This window comes from Homo sapiens, chromosome 4 (genome assembly GCF_000001405.40).
Source record: "Homo sapiens chromosome 4, GRCh38.p14 Primary Assembly".
Classification (NCBI taxonomy): Eukaryota; Metazoa; Chordata; class Mammalia; order Primates; family Hominidae; genus Homo; species Homo sapiens.
In genome coordinates, this window is record NC_000004.12 from 173530362 (window position 1) to 173544877 (window position 14516).

At 43.0% G+C, this 14516-nt stretch overlaps 2 long non-coding RNA genes across 12 annotated transcripts in view, besides 1 other annotated feature; one reads left to right on the plus strand and one right to left on the minus strand.

The window, feature by feature from the left end:
• The window catches only part of HAND2-AS1 (HAND2 antisense RNA 1), a 62656-nt gene that overhangs the window by 1762 nt on the left and 46378 nt on the right, over nucleotides 1-14516 (plus strand). Inside the window, exons 1-5 of one of the 11 annotated variants that reach the window (NR_136199.1) lie at nucleotides 10-178; nucleotides 606-717; nucleotides 3552-3761; nucleotides 6487-6609; nucleotides 7702-11571. This is a non-coding gene — a long non-coding RNA (HAND2 antisense RNA 1). Of the gene's footprint in view, nucleotides 1-9; nucleotides 272-438; nucleotides 718-3551; nucleotides 3762-6486; nucleotides 6610-7001; nucleotides 11572-14516 lie in introns of those variants that run through there. The other 10 variants (NR_136201.1, NR_136194.1, NR_136200.1 and 7 more) reach the window with 10 other exon arrangements.
• LOC124900816 (uncharacterized) lies at nucleotides 5388-7702 on the minus strand. Its single transcript, XR_007058375.1, has 2 exons — nucleotides 7588-7702; nucleotides 5388-7188 (listed from the first exon to the last, which is right to left on the minus strand). It is a non-coding gene; the product is annotated as an uncharacterized LOC124900816 (long non-coding RNA).
• Nucleotides 6373-6874: an enhancer, noted in NCBI's record as "NANOG hESC enhancer chr4:174457885-174458386 (GRCh37/hg19 assembly coordinates)". NCBI's record gives its function as "activates a minimal SCP1, AML or CMV promoter by ChIP-STARR-seq in primed H9 embryonic stem cells {active_cell/tissue: H9 hESC(primed)}" and the evidence as "EXISTENCE:reporter gene assay evidence [ECO:0000049][PMID:30033119]".

Below are 14516 nucleotides of genomic sequence, written 5' to 3' on the forward strand. Positions count from 1 at the left end.
CTCTTCCAGGATTGGCTACCTCCTCATAACCATAAGATAATTAAAACTTGGCGGGGGGGGGGGGCAGGGTTAAAAAAACTTTTTTTATCAGTCAGAGGATAATGCAAGTGTTTAACAGATGCTTCACTATTAAAATATTTTCCCCCCAAGTCTCAAATATTGAAGAATCTCTAACCAGGTACAGTATCACTCTGCTCTCTTTTCTGGTTGAAAAGAAAGAAAGAAAGAAAACGCAGGTATTGCTTTTCGAAGTGCTTTGTAGGTAATCGAGGTAAGAAAATATACGCAGGCAGCCTCTTACAATTTTATGCAGGGGCGCCGGGAGCCTCGTGACGGGCGGTGGGGGCCCCCACAAAGGCGCGGCTGGGAGCTGGCGCTCTTTGCCCCAGCAGGGACGAGGAGCGGCTGGAGAAGGGTGTTTCTTTGACCCGTTTACAGGCTCGAAACGCCGGTCTCAGTGGCTATTGAGTTACCCACCAAGTTACCCCGGTTAGAGCTGTTTGGGGTGGCTCACGTTATTGCGGCAAACTTTGGAGATGACGGCTGAGTCCTCCGGGCGAACATGTCAAGCCGATTGTAAATGCTGTTATTTCCACATCCTTCAGGGACACCAGTCCCTACGAAGACCTTGGGCGATTTTGAAGTGCGGGCACCTCGATTCCCCGAATCTGTAGTGTGGCTGGTATCGGTGTTCCCCTGGTTTAACTAGCCTGTTTGGTAAGTAACTGAATATTTTTTACGGCGTGTTCAGAGCTTATTTTCCAGTTTTTATGAACAAACATATAAATATATCTCTGCATTCCTGCCTCCCTCATAAAAGCGGGCATCTGTGGAAAGCAGGTTTAGTTATCGGAGGGGAACCATTAAACGCCAGTTTAAGAGGCAGGCCGGGAGGACGGCTCGTGGATGTTGAGACTGCTGGCCTTGGTGATCTTGAACGCATTATAACGGAAAATGGATCTCCACTTGTAAGTCACCGGGCCGCGGGGCACCCGGGCCGCAGCGCCCGTGTGGCATGAGCTTCTTGAGAAGGCTCACGTGCGGCGAGGGCGGGTGGTAAATGGCAGGAGCTGAAATCACCCCAGGCTTGGCCCCAAGCCGAGAGGGGAGGCTGATGTGTATATGCAGATTCCACCCGAAGGAGTTCGGTGTGGAAAACGGTGTCAACAGGAGCCCGCGGGCTGTAAATTAGAGGGAGGCGAGGGCCTGCGGCGCCAGCGCGGGACAGGGCGGCCTGGGGCTCGCCGCTGGTCAGGCCAGGTTAGCCCAAGGGAGACCAAAGACTCCACCTTGAGCATCGCCCTTTGGAGGCGGGCAGAGTCCGGCCGCAGGCCACAAAGCGATCCCCACCCGAAGGACTCCACAAGGACAGTCCTTTCCTTGCTCACCGCCGACAAAGTGGTTGGGGCAGGAAGGCGAGGTCAGTGCGAATGGAGGGCGCCCAACTTCGGTGTTGCAGTTGACTCTGTGCTCGGGCTCTGCCCTCCACTAGCCCTAGAGTCTTGGGCAGCAGGATTGAGAAATATATATATTTCAGGTTTGCCGCGGCTGGGCGGTAGGAGACAGGGACTTAAAAGCCCAGGATTAGAGTCGGTGCAGGGCCCATTCTTTTTCTAGGAAAGGGGTTAACATCCTTGAACGTCCCCAGACAAGCGTCTTAAAGCATTGAACCTAGAATAGGGATTAACTGAAACTAGGCTCGTTGGTAAGCGCCAGGGGCTTGCAGTTGAGCTCGGAACAAAATAGTGACCTACTGCTCTAAACCCCCAACTTGCGTGGGTCTGCAATTTTTTAGCACAAGGAGAGCCTTTTAAAGACCTGGTTCTTCAAGGAAAGAATGCAGGTAGTGTGGTTGGGGGTTCTGTTTACATTTTCACCCGGAGGCAAACCCCGAATGTGTAAATACTGGTAGTTCAATTCTCTGACATTTGATACGTTTTTGAAAAGTCTGTTTATAAAAACACATTTAGGCCTTGGGAGCAGGTAGACAAAGTAAGATTGCACTGGGGCTGGGAACATATAAAAATTCAGGGAAATTAGTTGGTTGGCTGCTTTAAGACCCAAAGGGAGTTTTGGGAATTGAAGGGAGGAAGAAGAGTCCAGAGGAGGGCTGAGTTAGGGATTGAGATGCTCTGTCCACCAGAGACCAGCGGTGAGTGGCCTCACTTTTGAAAGCTTCAGAACTTGCCACATTTAGCTTTTCTCATGCTTTTAATTGAAACAAACAAACAAACAAAAATGAATGAATTACCTCGTGGCTCCAGATAGCATTGCAAGTGGTAAAGGAAATGGACAACATGGTACAGAAAAAAGAAATCATAAAAGATGCTAATCTGAACATCAGTTCTCACTCACAGTGTCATTATCAGTTAACTGCTGTGGTCCAAGGGCCTAAGACTTGATGTGGCTCAGAAACCCAAATCCAGAGGTCACTGCCTTAGAAAGCTGGCTTGATGAGAGGGGACAAATGGATGAACCCTAGTGGTGTCCCCAACTGTAGTAACTGACTCAGGGAGGCCAGGCTGGCCCTGACTGGTTGAGCTCTACCCTAAATGCACAAACGCATCCACTTTTCTCTTGCAGTGTCCTTTGGCCTGTTTTGTTCCAGGTTTTCCAGGATACTGGGTTAGCCTGCTCCTTTGGGAAGTTGTGAAGCAAGGATGCCATCTCAAGTTTGCCCTCAATTTAGGTGTCCTGGGCATCCTGGTGGTAGTGATGGAGGTGTTGGCAGTGGTGGCAATGAAGGAGAGGGTGGTGTTGGTGATGAGAGGGAAAGTGGGAGAAGAAAGGGAGAAAGGCACAGTCCCTGACATCGATGTCAGCATGGGGACCCCACTCCTGGGCTGCACTAGTGTAGCTGCTGATGCACATGTTGTAAGTACTCAAAGGCCCAGGGAACTGGCTTGCTGGGGGCTCCTCTGGGTGCCTGTGGAGGAATCTTAGCTAGGAGTGCTTCTCTGCCTCTCCTCAGAGGCTGAGGGCTGAGCCAAAACCGGCCTTACTCGTGTCCAGAAACTGCTTCACAAGGAGGCAGCCCAGGTTTGGGTGAGTGTTTGGGATTCTGTACCTTTGTTGTAGCTGATGGTGTACCTACTGTACTGCACATGTCAACTGCCTTCAGCCAAATAGACAGAATCTGGTTCAAGCATTTATTTTGCTCCTCATGTCTCTTGTCTCTTTGCCGTCACTGCTACTTCTTTCTCTGGAAAAAGACGGAAAGAGCAGCAGAGAGGCTGAACATGGCCATGCAAACATTTTGGTCTTGTGAGATATTATTATACTTGAAAAAATCAATCTGGTTTAAACTAATTTTAAAAAAATCTTTAGTTAGGTTTTAGGGAAAATACAGATTGTCTCAGGGTGTTTATTATTTCAAAGGCAAGGGCAGTTTATATCCTCTGTTTTGCTCATAAGAACCCAAAATAAACTGGACCCAAAAAGAATCAGGCCAGAGGGTCATAAATGCACATTTTATGTTCATGGGAATTATGGCTCAATTCTCATCATCGTCTTTCAAATCTTGTTTCACCTTGTTTTTCTAACCAACATAGTGGAAGTGACTCTGACCGTTCCCTTAAGAATCTTTAATGCTCTTACATGAGATGAGCCTCAGAACAAGCTAAGAACCATCGAAAGAACATCAAGCCTGGAAGGTGACAGAAGGAGCAATGTGTTCTTGAAGATGTCACCTCAGCCCACCTGCTCCAAGGACAGTGCTTCTTGCGACACTCTGATAGCTCTGCATTCTTTTCTGTACCAGGGTAGGGTGGAGTCATTTTACATGCTATCCACTTAGTCCCAGGATGTTTAGGATGCTCAGAACAAGGCATATTGTCTGAGTGGTGGCAAGGGTCTCCCTCTAACTGGGGTTGTGTAGTCCTTCCTGTTTGTGTAGTTCTTCTTGTATAGTCTTTTCTTGTTGGCCTTTGAGAAGTAGTTGTCTACAGACATACCAAGTGAAAGTGGCTCCAGAAGTGTCGTGCTGCTCAAAGTACACATCTGCAAAGCAGAATCAAATTTTGTTGGATTTGAGTGTCTATTTCAAAAAAGGAAGAATAAGAAAAGCTGCCCTTGTGTCTTGTGAGGTTTTTTTTTTTCTTCTTCTTCTTTTAAGCAAGTTTTTTCCTCTTCTTTTAAGCAAGTTTTTGGTTAAGGGGGTGGCATATTTAGGGGTTGGATCCTCTTCCTTTCTCTTCCCTACATGGAGAGATGGAGGGGGAGGGGCTAGTTCAGCTGAATGATGACAGTGGAGGGGCTGATTGCTTATGAATCCTTCAGTCCAGCTCTAATTAGAAAACAGTTAAGTTGGTGGAGAAAATCAGGGCTTGCTTAGTGCCTGCACATTCCCTCCTCCTCTTTCTCCTCTCCCTCTTTCCCTTCTTTCTTCCTTCCACCCCCCTCCCTCCCTCTCTCTCTTCTTCTCTCCAGTTCTCCCTTGTAATTTGCCGTCTAGCAGCATTTGGGATTACAAGGTTTTTTTTCTTTTCTTTTCTTTTTTTCCCTATCACTGAATCTGCAACTGGCATGGAAGAATGAGATACTGATTCATGCTGAAGTCTTTTAAGAAAAATCTTAATATCCACAGTCAGTAGAATTTTCCTTTCTTTCTAAATAATCAATGACTAGATCCTCATGTTAACTGGTAGATATGTTGCTGCACTGGAGGGTTTTCATTGATAAGGAAGAACTAAATATTTTTCCAGGTGTCTAAGTGTGTCTGTAAATCTAAAATCCTCATTCAGACTAAAGGGACCATAAGATAACCCCGTGAAGGCCTCAAAGAAGCAGCATGATGTAGATACATGGGACGTATTATTAACGTTATTATACTAGTCCTAAGAGGTACAGTAAATCTGATCTTTGTTAATCTTTGCTACTTTGTAGTAAAATATAGAGTTTAGAGCAAAACCGGTCTGAGAACCTACATCCCATAGGATTTATGTTAAATACTCATTCAAATTATTGCTTCAAGCAAATTACATACACACTAGCGACATTTTCTTTCAAGCCGGGAGGAAATCACTCAACATTCAGATGAGGAAGTGTGATTTTTCATACGTGTTCTACGGAAATAGTAAATAATGGACTTCACCTAGTCTGCAGTGTATTATGGGGTTCAGAATAAAATATGAGTTCAACTGGCAATTTCAAATGCGGCTTTGGAGAGAAAACATTTATTTGACTGAAAGATTTGCTTCTGACTTGAGGCCCAGGAACATTCCCAGTTTTAACTGTAGTGTTGCATTCCTGGGAAGTTCTGTTCCATAGCTTCCTTTGCAAATTCATGTAGATGGATTTCTTTAGCTCTGACAGTTTCCTCCAAACCTTTCCTACATTCTTCCAGGGCCTTTGCTTATAGACAGGGGAGTTACACCAGGATGGTTAGGTTTCAGGTTAACAAAAAGAAACACTTTTATTGTCAATATTAATGGCAAACCTCGATTTTTACAAGGCTTGGGTTTAGCAGTGTGAGCAGATCAAAAGCAGCTTGGTTTGATTTCTCAATATTCTCTGGAGCTTAGACAATTAACTGCAATTTTGCTCCTAACAAAACAACACAAAAAAGTTAGTTACAGAAATGTTATAGGTAATCTTTTGGCAGAGATTTTTACCTGAGTACAACATATCAGAATCTAGAAAATTTATCTACTGAACTTGAGTTGAGTTTTGCAGGAAAACCCCTTAAGAAAATCTTGTGTGAACTACGTCCTCGGTTGCAATGCCATGAGCCTGTTTCAGTGTGTGCATTCCAGGCTTGCCTTTCTAGCTGGGTAAGGATCCGGCAGACTGAGGTCTCCTTGGTAATTTGGGTACACCAAGTCTCCAGTTAATGATAGATAATCAGCCTTTGGGTCATTCGGTCATTCTCTTATTACAAACCCCTCCTGCTCTCTCTGATCTCCTTTCAAACTAAATTTCACACAAACAAATAAAGCAAGACAGGGACAAGTTCTTAAAAAAAGAGAGAGAAATATTAGAAACGCCTGATACAGAACTCTAAACAAGGAAAGGCAAGCTAAAAGAGGATAGGAAAGAACATCTTATCAAAATGAACATGTTGTGTACAAAACATTAAAAGAAAAGGCTCTGGTTTTTGTTAAAGTGACAGAAAATTAAAATAAAAATAATTGCAGGCACCAAAGTTATAAACAGGGAAGGCAGGATGCTAGCTGGAAATGCGCAGCACTAGGGAGCTAATTTGTTGTTACAGATTATATATCTGCACCCTGCTTGGAGAAGTGCTACTTTGTTCCATTTTCCAGAAGAGAATGGTTTTTCTTCTTAATACTTGTGTGAATGCCCACTTAAGTTAACACAGGCCACAACTTTGAGGAATGAGAAATGGAATTGCATTCTGCTTGCGAAGCATCCAACTTCAAACGAAGAAATTGGTTGTGTACAAAAAAAAAAGTAGAATTTCATTCAGAATACGTTTGGAGACTTCACTAAATTGGTGTGACTGATGCTTTTTTGTTTTGCTGACAGAAGGCACAGATCATTCATGGGGATGTATAACCGAAACCAGTCCTCTCCACCGCCTGGGGATCTTCACTTTCGCAGTCTACGACTGCCTGTGACTCCAGAAAGACAAACTGCAGATTGGCCAAGGTACATCTCAGATCAGATCCCTCTGGGAAAAGCGCGGGAATGCTTGGCTCTAGTAGTTAGGAGCTCTGGTGAGAGCGCCCCTAGTGCCATTTTCCCATCCCTGCCCTTGACAGTCCCCTTTGGTCTAAATTCACGGTTCTAGACAGTCAAAGTCTACCTGCTGGGTGTCCACTCTCAAGCCATAGGTTTTCAATCCTAAAAGGGATTAGGACCTTGGCTCAAAATGTGGTCAACGCAGTGTTCAAATTAGGAGGGCAGCTGGGAGATGGCAGCAGGGGATGAAAGTATGACTCCTACTTCGTCCGCAACTGTGGGTCTGGCACCTCTTGACTTGCCAGTATGCTGGCAAACAACCCATCTCTCTTGGAGAATCCACACTTCGTTTCTTCTAGGTCCAGCCTAAATGTTACCTCCTCCAGGGAGCCTTTCCAGATACTGCTTCTCCTCTCTCCCCCAACTCCCTCCCACAAATGAAGTTTTCTCTTCTGAATTCCTTGCTGGTACTGTCACTTATATTCTTTTGGGTAGATCTCTGGGCATGCATATGTCACCTCCTGTGACTGTGGGTTTCTTGACAACCTAATCAATGCATTGAACAAAGGAGATGTTTAGACAACCCATATAAAATGAATAAGAGAAATAGGGTGAATACCGTCTACCCCAATTGCAATCAGATTAGTTTCCTTTATTTTGAAAACGATTAGAACTAGTAGAGGAGTTAGATGTGGCCCACTAGGGAACAAATTTTCATCTCCAAGCCGTCCTCTGGCTCGATCGGGTCTGCACTGGGTCTGCATCAACTTGCGCTGGCTCAGAGGGAGGCTCAGCCCCAGCCTGGCCTTCCTGGTGCCCACTCCCAACATCCTGAGCAGGGCCGACTCTAGGCACCCCACGATTAGCTGAGTGATCTAGGGCAAGGACCTAGGCGTCTCTAAGTCTTAGTTTCCCCATCTGAACAATGTGGATAATGACACGTACCTGGGGTGGGCAGGCTAGAGTAAATGGGAAAATCAAAGCGCCAGCCAGAGCGGGTCGCACTGTTAGTTCCTGTATTTTCTCCTCCTGCCTCTGGTTTCTTCCGTTCCGTTCTAGCTGCCTGAAGACCCAGCCCGACAGCGATGCCTGTCAGCCCGCGTCGCCCACCAGGGCAGCTGCTCTCCCAACTCGCATGGGGGGCACCACCCCGCCTCGGTGCCCTAGAGCTGAGCGCAGCCGCGGCTCCACGGGGATCGCCAGGGCCTCAGCCCTCGCGGCCGGCGGCGCGGGAGTGTTGCGGGGCAGGGACCAGAGCGCGATCAGAGCGGCCACCCCCGATTTAGGTCGCCAGCTTTCCAGTCACTGCGATGGCCACTGGGGCGCCCCTTCCATCCTGGTTAAATTCTCATTGTGATCCCCAGCCCTCTTCTCGGTTCCCCACACCCAGGAGGCCGGTTCTCCGCCGCTCAGGCTGGGAGAGGTCACCGCTCCGGGCAGGGTGGACCCCCAGCTCCGTCTCGGAGGACCTTTCGCCGGAGGCGAGCAGGAAGGGGTTAACCATGAGCCTCCCACCCTCACCTCCCAGACCCTGGTGCCGGGCTAAGGCCTCCGCTTCCCTCCTGAGGTCTCATTAGGAAACCCTCACCGCTATTTTCAACATTTCCTCAATCAAGTGCCTTTAAATAGAGCTGCACAAACAGATTGGCGGCAAAAGCGTAGATCTTGTCACGATTGAGACCAATCCAGTATTTCAGCCTTGTTTGCTTTGCAATTACGGGTTGGCTTGTGGCTACGGTGCCACCGGGGCAAATCTGCAGCCGCTCGCTTTCTCCTCTGCGCTCCGGGCGGGTGGAGGAAGCGACCCGCGGAGTCACTGCAGGGAGGAGAGGGGGACGCGCGCGGGGGGAGGCGGCGGAGGGCGGAGGAGACTCGCTTGCACCCCAGGGCCGCGGGCACGCAGAGCTGTGTTGAAGGACATACTTTTCAGGTTCCTGACAGTCACTGAGCTATACGCAATAATAAAGTGCGTGATTCGCGTGTGGAAACCAGTGTCGTGTCCTTACCAGCTTCCTTTTCTGTCCACCTTCCCTCTCTCTTCTACCTCCGTTTCGCTTTTCTTCAGTGCATGTTAGCGGTTTGCTGGATTTCCCTTCTCCCTCGCTGTTCAACTGCTAGCATGATTTGTTACATTTTCCACAGCTGTTTATTCTTGTTTGACTTTTTGTACAAAGTCACTTTAAATCTGCTGCAGAAAGAATAAAGCACCTAGCCCTTTGGATGGACTCCTGCAGGCGTGTGGCTGTCCCTGGCCCACTTTTAATTCTTTGGAGATGGCTCTTCTGTGTAAATCAGCTGCTGGGTGCGTTCGGTCACCTCGTAGGCCAGCCTAGTTTGTATCAGCAGAACAGTAGTGGACTCGACTCAGGTCGTAAGCCTTATATTTCACAGACAATTAAATCTTGGCTGCTGTTGAACAAAACTGTAATATTTACTTTGTTCTATACCGAGAAGCACTTTTAAAGTAAAAAAGAAAAAAAAACCAAATACTACACTTCAAAAAGAAAATATGACAATGAATCTCTTTTTATGGATTCTCTCTGCATAAGTGGAAACAATATGATTTAAATCCCCAACACCCCATCCCCCTTTTCAGACACAGCTGAAGTGATACAGATACTGTCTTCTAACACATAATCTCCCTCTCTCGGGAGAGGCACCTGCCTGTGCTACATTCGATTTAGTTTGTAAGGTTTCAGGCCCCTCCCCGACCCATGTAATATGTAACAAGGATTATCAAATAATAAGGTCTTGGATGTGAAGTCTGCTTTACACAAGAATTCAAGAAAGATAGGCAGGACTTGAGTAATTATGTTACAACTTCATATTACTTTCCAAATGAATACCCATTTTCTTCTCATGTCAACTTCTAGAGATGGGATGCTGAGGCAGAGAAATATTTTTATGAGACTCTGGAGTACATACTAAAATGTGCTTCCTTATTATTTAAGAATGTGTAAGGTATGGACCTACATTTGTTTGCTGGTGGTCATAAAATAAATTCATAGCCATTGTGGCCAATAAGCAATCTCCTTCACGCTTTAAAAGTTTTTGGTTTATAATCCCACCTGGATTGTATTTTCACTATTCTGTATCACCCTCCTATTGCAATATTTTGGTTCTCAATCTTATGTAAAGCAAACCTCAGAAATGATCGTTTCCATAAAATTGTGCAATGGCAAAGCCACAGAATAATATTTTGAGTCCATATAGCCGTGCATGCTCATCTATATAGCTCTTATACAGTTTTCTAGCTGATTGCTTTGGTATTTCAAGAAATAGGAAGCAGTAGCTACCTATTTTAATGAAAGGGTACCATTTCATAAGAATTCTATTTTCACTGAAAAAATTGGTCTGGCACATTATTCAATGCAAAAGATTATAATATTACTTTCACGTGTGTTAATCTGTTTAGTATAAAACTGCTAGGGTGTCTTAACCATTAACGCGTTTTGCCACACTACTTTCAAATGGTGATCTGAGATAATTACGAAGATTTTGATGTTAATCCCACGTTAAATGAACAACTATGAAAATAATCTTAAAGCATTATTACTCCCATATACATGCCAGCAAACCCAATTGTGGAGAGAACATGATTACTTTTTATCTGACATTATCCTATAAGGATATGGCTACATTTATTTCTTTTAAAATTGGAGCAGTTTTCAATTACTTTTTAACAGAATTGTTTTCAACACAGCATTTTGCAGTGCCCATAAACCATAGCAACTTTGTCCTGATCGATACATATTTTTCTGCATTATTATTCATTAGCCTCTTTGCAAACTCACTAAAATAGAATAGTATTAAAGTATGAATATATAGAGAACAATTATTAGGTTCTACATATTTATTTAGGTAAACCAATGTTATTAAAATTAAAAACATGTGCCTGGCATATAAGTGCTTCTTCAGGAATTCTTTTTTGGATGCATAGTTATTATTTTTTAAACAAACTCAGATTTTCAAACACTGATTTTCTTCTCTGAACGGGCATTGCATTGTTTTAAACAGTAGCTCCTGGAATAATGCCACCTTTAGTATTTTAGACTTTCAAACAACAATTGGAATTGGATAAATGCTTTCAGCTGGGAGCACTTTCCTAATACCTTTGTAGGTAATGGGATTCTCTATTTGTGCTGGGTGACAAACGGACAGTGCCCTGGACAGACTGCCTACCCTCTGCAGAATCTACCAAAAAGTAGAGTTTTCCCATGAGACTGCTTGTGGTCCATCTAAAAATGAAAAAATAATCAGAGAAAATGCGCAAAGCCTTTTCTAACTACAGTTATGAAATGATGGCTTAAAGAGGTATTTAGAAAATAAGAGTGGAGTAATACAGAAACAAAATCTGAAGAAGAAAGTTTGCTTAGGAGCTGATGCTCTTTGTCTACAAACAAGAGGGTAAGGAGCTGGATCCAATTGAATTGAATTGTTTTTGTTTGCTTGTTTGTTTTCTTCCATTCAGTGCCTTTCAAACTGTTTTTTACTGGATGAAGAAACTCAACCAAGAAAATATATGTCGATTCTTGTATATGGGACAATATTAGCTGCTGTGATTTTTAATACTAGCATAAAATATAAGAATCTTTTTATTACTGTGATATTGTTTTTTCCTAAATGAATGCATAGTGTAACAATTGGTGTCAAAAAGCATTGAATTTTTTTCAGATGGATTAAGCTGGAATAATAAAGTATATCTATGAGATGATTTCTGTAAACTCTGACTTGCTGAGAAAAAAGTGAAAAAGCTTTTTCTGGAAGAAACATGGCAACTTAACCGTTATTAATCTGGACTAAATAAAACAGGAAACTGCTTCTTTACATTTCTAGTAATTTTTTCTGCTTTTCCAAACATTGTTAAGTTCTATGCAACTTGTGCTATTCAAGTAAAGATGATGTCAGTAATAAAATTACAGAATCTAATCAAGTGACTATTTTTGCTTTATTACAAAATTTATGTATTTAATTGGGATGTTTAATTGCTTAGTTTTTAGAACACTGAATTTTTCTTTTTCCAGACAACAGAGTGATATTTAATGAAGTGCTTATAAAGATAAATACGATGGTTCATCAAAGATAAAATAGTCATAATAACAAGATGGCATTTGAGTCAATGTGGAGTGGACTCTGCTTTGTAAATTATACTGCTTTTTAAAAGCATGACCTAGGTATTTACAATGGGGACATCTGAGAAGAGAAACTCAAGAGTCCTCAACTTACACAGCCAAGAATACACAATCATGTAGGAGAACTTGCCCTCAGAAGCATTTCTCTATTGACATTGCCATTTCTTTTCCTCCATCTAGTACTTCCATTTGCTCTATTTCACTAAAAAGTCACAGAATTAAGAGTGGCTGCTGCAACTCACTGGGCTTTCTCTGCTTAAAAAACCTTAATATCACATGGTATTAATACAGCTACATTAATAATTGAAAGATTCACTCAGCTGACCCTATGATTTTTCTAATTATTGTTAACTATCTGAATATTTGGAAATAATTGTATTTTTCCACTGACTTTTTCTCATTGCCTTGGGTACTAGAAGGTTTTTTTTTTTTTTTTTTTTTTTTTTTTAGATGGAGTTTCACTCTTGCTGCCCAGGCTGGAGTGCAATGGCGCGATCTTGGCTCGCTGTAACCTCTGCCTCCCAGTTCAAGTGATTCTCCTGCTTCAGCCTCCCGAGTAGCTGGGATTACAGGTGCATGCCACCATGCCCGGCTAATTTTGTATTTTTAGTAGAGACAGGGTTTCTCCACGTTGGTCAGGCTGGTCTTGAACTCCTGACCTCAGGTGATCCGCCTGCCTCGGCCTCCCAAAGTGCTGGGATTACAGGCATAAGCCACTGTGCCCAGCCGGGTGCTAGAAGTTTTAACATATAACTTCAGACACAACTGAGTAAATAGTTAGCTGTATATATTTTATTGTATTGTTATTTATATTATGTCGGCTTTGTGTCAGAAAGGATTTAAAGCACTTGTTTCAAGAATTGGTATGCTATATTTTTCAAAATCTGTGTATAAAAATAATTCCCATAAGTACCACTGTAATTTACTTTTCATGTGTATTACAAAATCAGTTATGTGTTCTGGTAAACATTTTGATCCCAAGAGGAAGCAGGATTACATTTAGAATGTGACAAATTTTAAAAATTAATTTTGTTGTAAAGAAATCTTTATAATGATATGCCATAAAGTTATTACTATGCATGTAAGGCCGCATACCATAGTGATTAAGAGCAGGTCCTTGGAGTTAGAGGCACAGTCTGAACTTGACTACAAAAGTTATCAGCTGTGTGATCTTGGGAAAGTAACCATTCTCAGCTTTAGTTACCACAGCTGTAAAAGGTGGATAATAATTATAGACTCTGTCCTGTTGTTGTGGTGAACATTTAGTGAGACGACTCACATGAGGGGCTGGCATAGGGTAAGTACTTACTCAATATCAGCTGTTCTCTTTGGCATAGCTCTGTTAGAGTGGCATGCCACAGTTACCTTCTTGAGAGCCACTAAGCGTGGGAACGGTAACAGTCCACAGAATTTTTGGAGATTGGTATGAGGAGGCTGCATTGGCTCCCAGCCCTCAGGGTTGACAGGGTGAAGGTAATGGCTTCTGGCTGTCTTTAGAGCTCCCAAAAGATATGAGAAGATGGTTCTAGTGATGACAACCCACTGTTCTGTCAGTGGAAATCTAGTTTTATGCCATCTTCATCATTCGTGGTGTAGTCTATCGGTGCCTGACACAAACGTCTAGAGTGGGGAAAATAACACCTTAAAGAAATAGAATATCTTAGGTCCATGATTTGCCTGCTGTGTTTATTATGTACCCCAGCAGTAAAATATTTTAAGTATATTTATTTGCAAATCATACATCTGTACATCTTTACTGATATGTACATGATAAACCTGTGCAAAAAATAACCTAAAAAGGGGTAAGATTAAAATGAAGAATTAGACAAAAGGTTTAAATGTTTTAAGGTAAGATTCAGCATCATCAACAGTGGGTATAAATCCATACTTCAAATAGCCTTGGTGGTTTAAAAATCCTCTGGTTGATTTACCTTTGGATTCATATCATCAGTGTTTCCGTCTTGTTTTGTGGCTGAGAAGAGGAGGAGCAGTGTCAGTTCTGCCATTTTCCTGTCAATGGTTTATGTCTGCCTTCTTGGAATCATATTTAATGAAAGGTTCTTTGCAGGAATATTTTTAAACCCCTTGTTCATTTGGTGAAGATTAGTTTAGTTAAAACTGGATTATATAATATATTTCAATCTAACTGAGCCAGACAAATTGTAACACATTTCAGGCCATGTGTGCTTCTAAGAGGGCCACTGTTAACCCCTCTGTGGTCAAGAGCTCCCCCTTCCCTGAGGTTACCTTGTGTGCTCAAGGCAGCTGAGTAACATAAGAAGAAGCAAGGGTGTTGATGCCAATGGTTACCCTATTAGTGAACTCATTTCTGATTGTTTGTATGAAAACAAATATGATTTCTGTTATAATCTTCTGACACCCCATTCCTTGGGGCACCACTGTCCTAGACTCTGAAATCACTGTGGTTCCTGCCATTTCTTGACCTTGACATTCTGTGACAGAATGAAGGAGACCTTAGGTTCAGTGGACTTCATTTTCTATAACTAGCTTTACTCTATTGATCACATAGTGGTATAGCTCTTCAGTGTTTGCAAATCAATGTTCACATATTTCTGTCATTTGAACTCAGCATCTTTATAGGGCAGGTAGAGAAGGTCTGATTCTGTCCATTGTAAAGATGGAAGAGATGAAACCACCAGTGTTGCTGACTGCAGATGGAAGATAATTGCGTAAGTTCACACAGCGGTAGACCTGGGTTTGAATTTGTTTTTGAAAGCAATA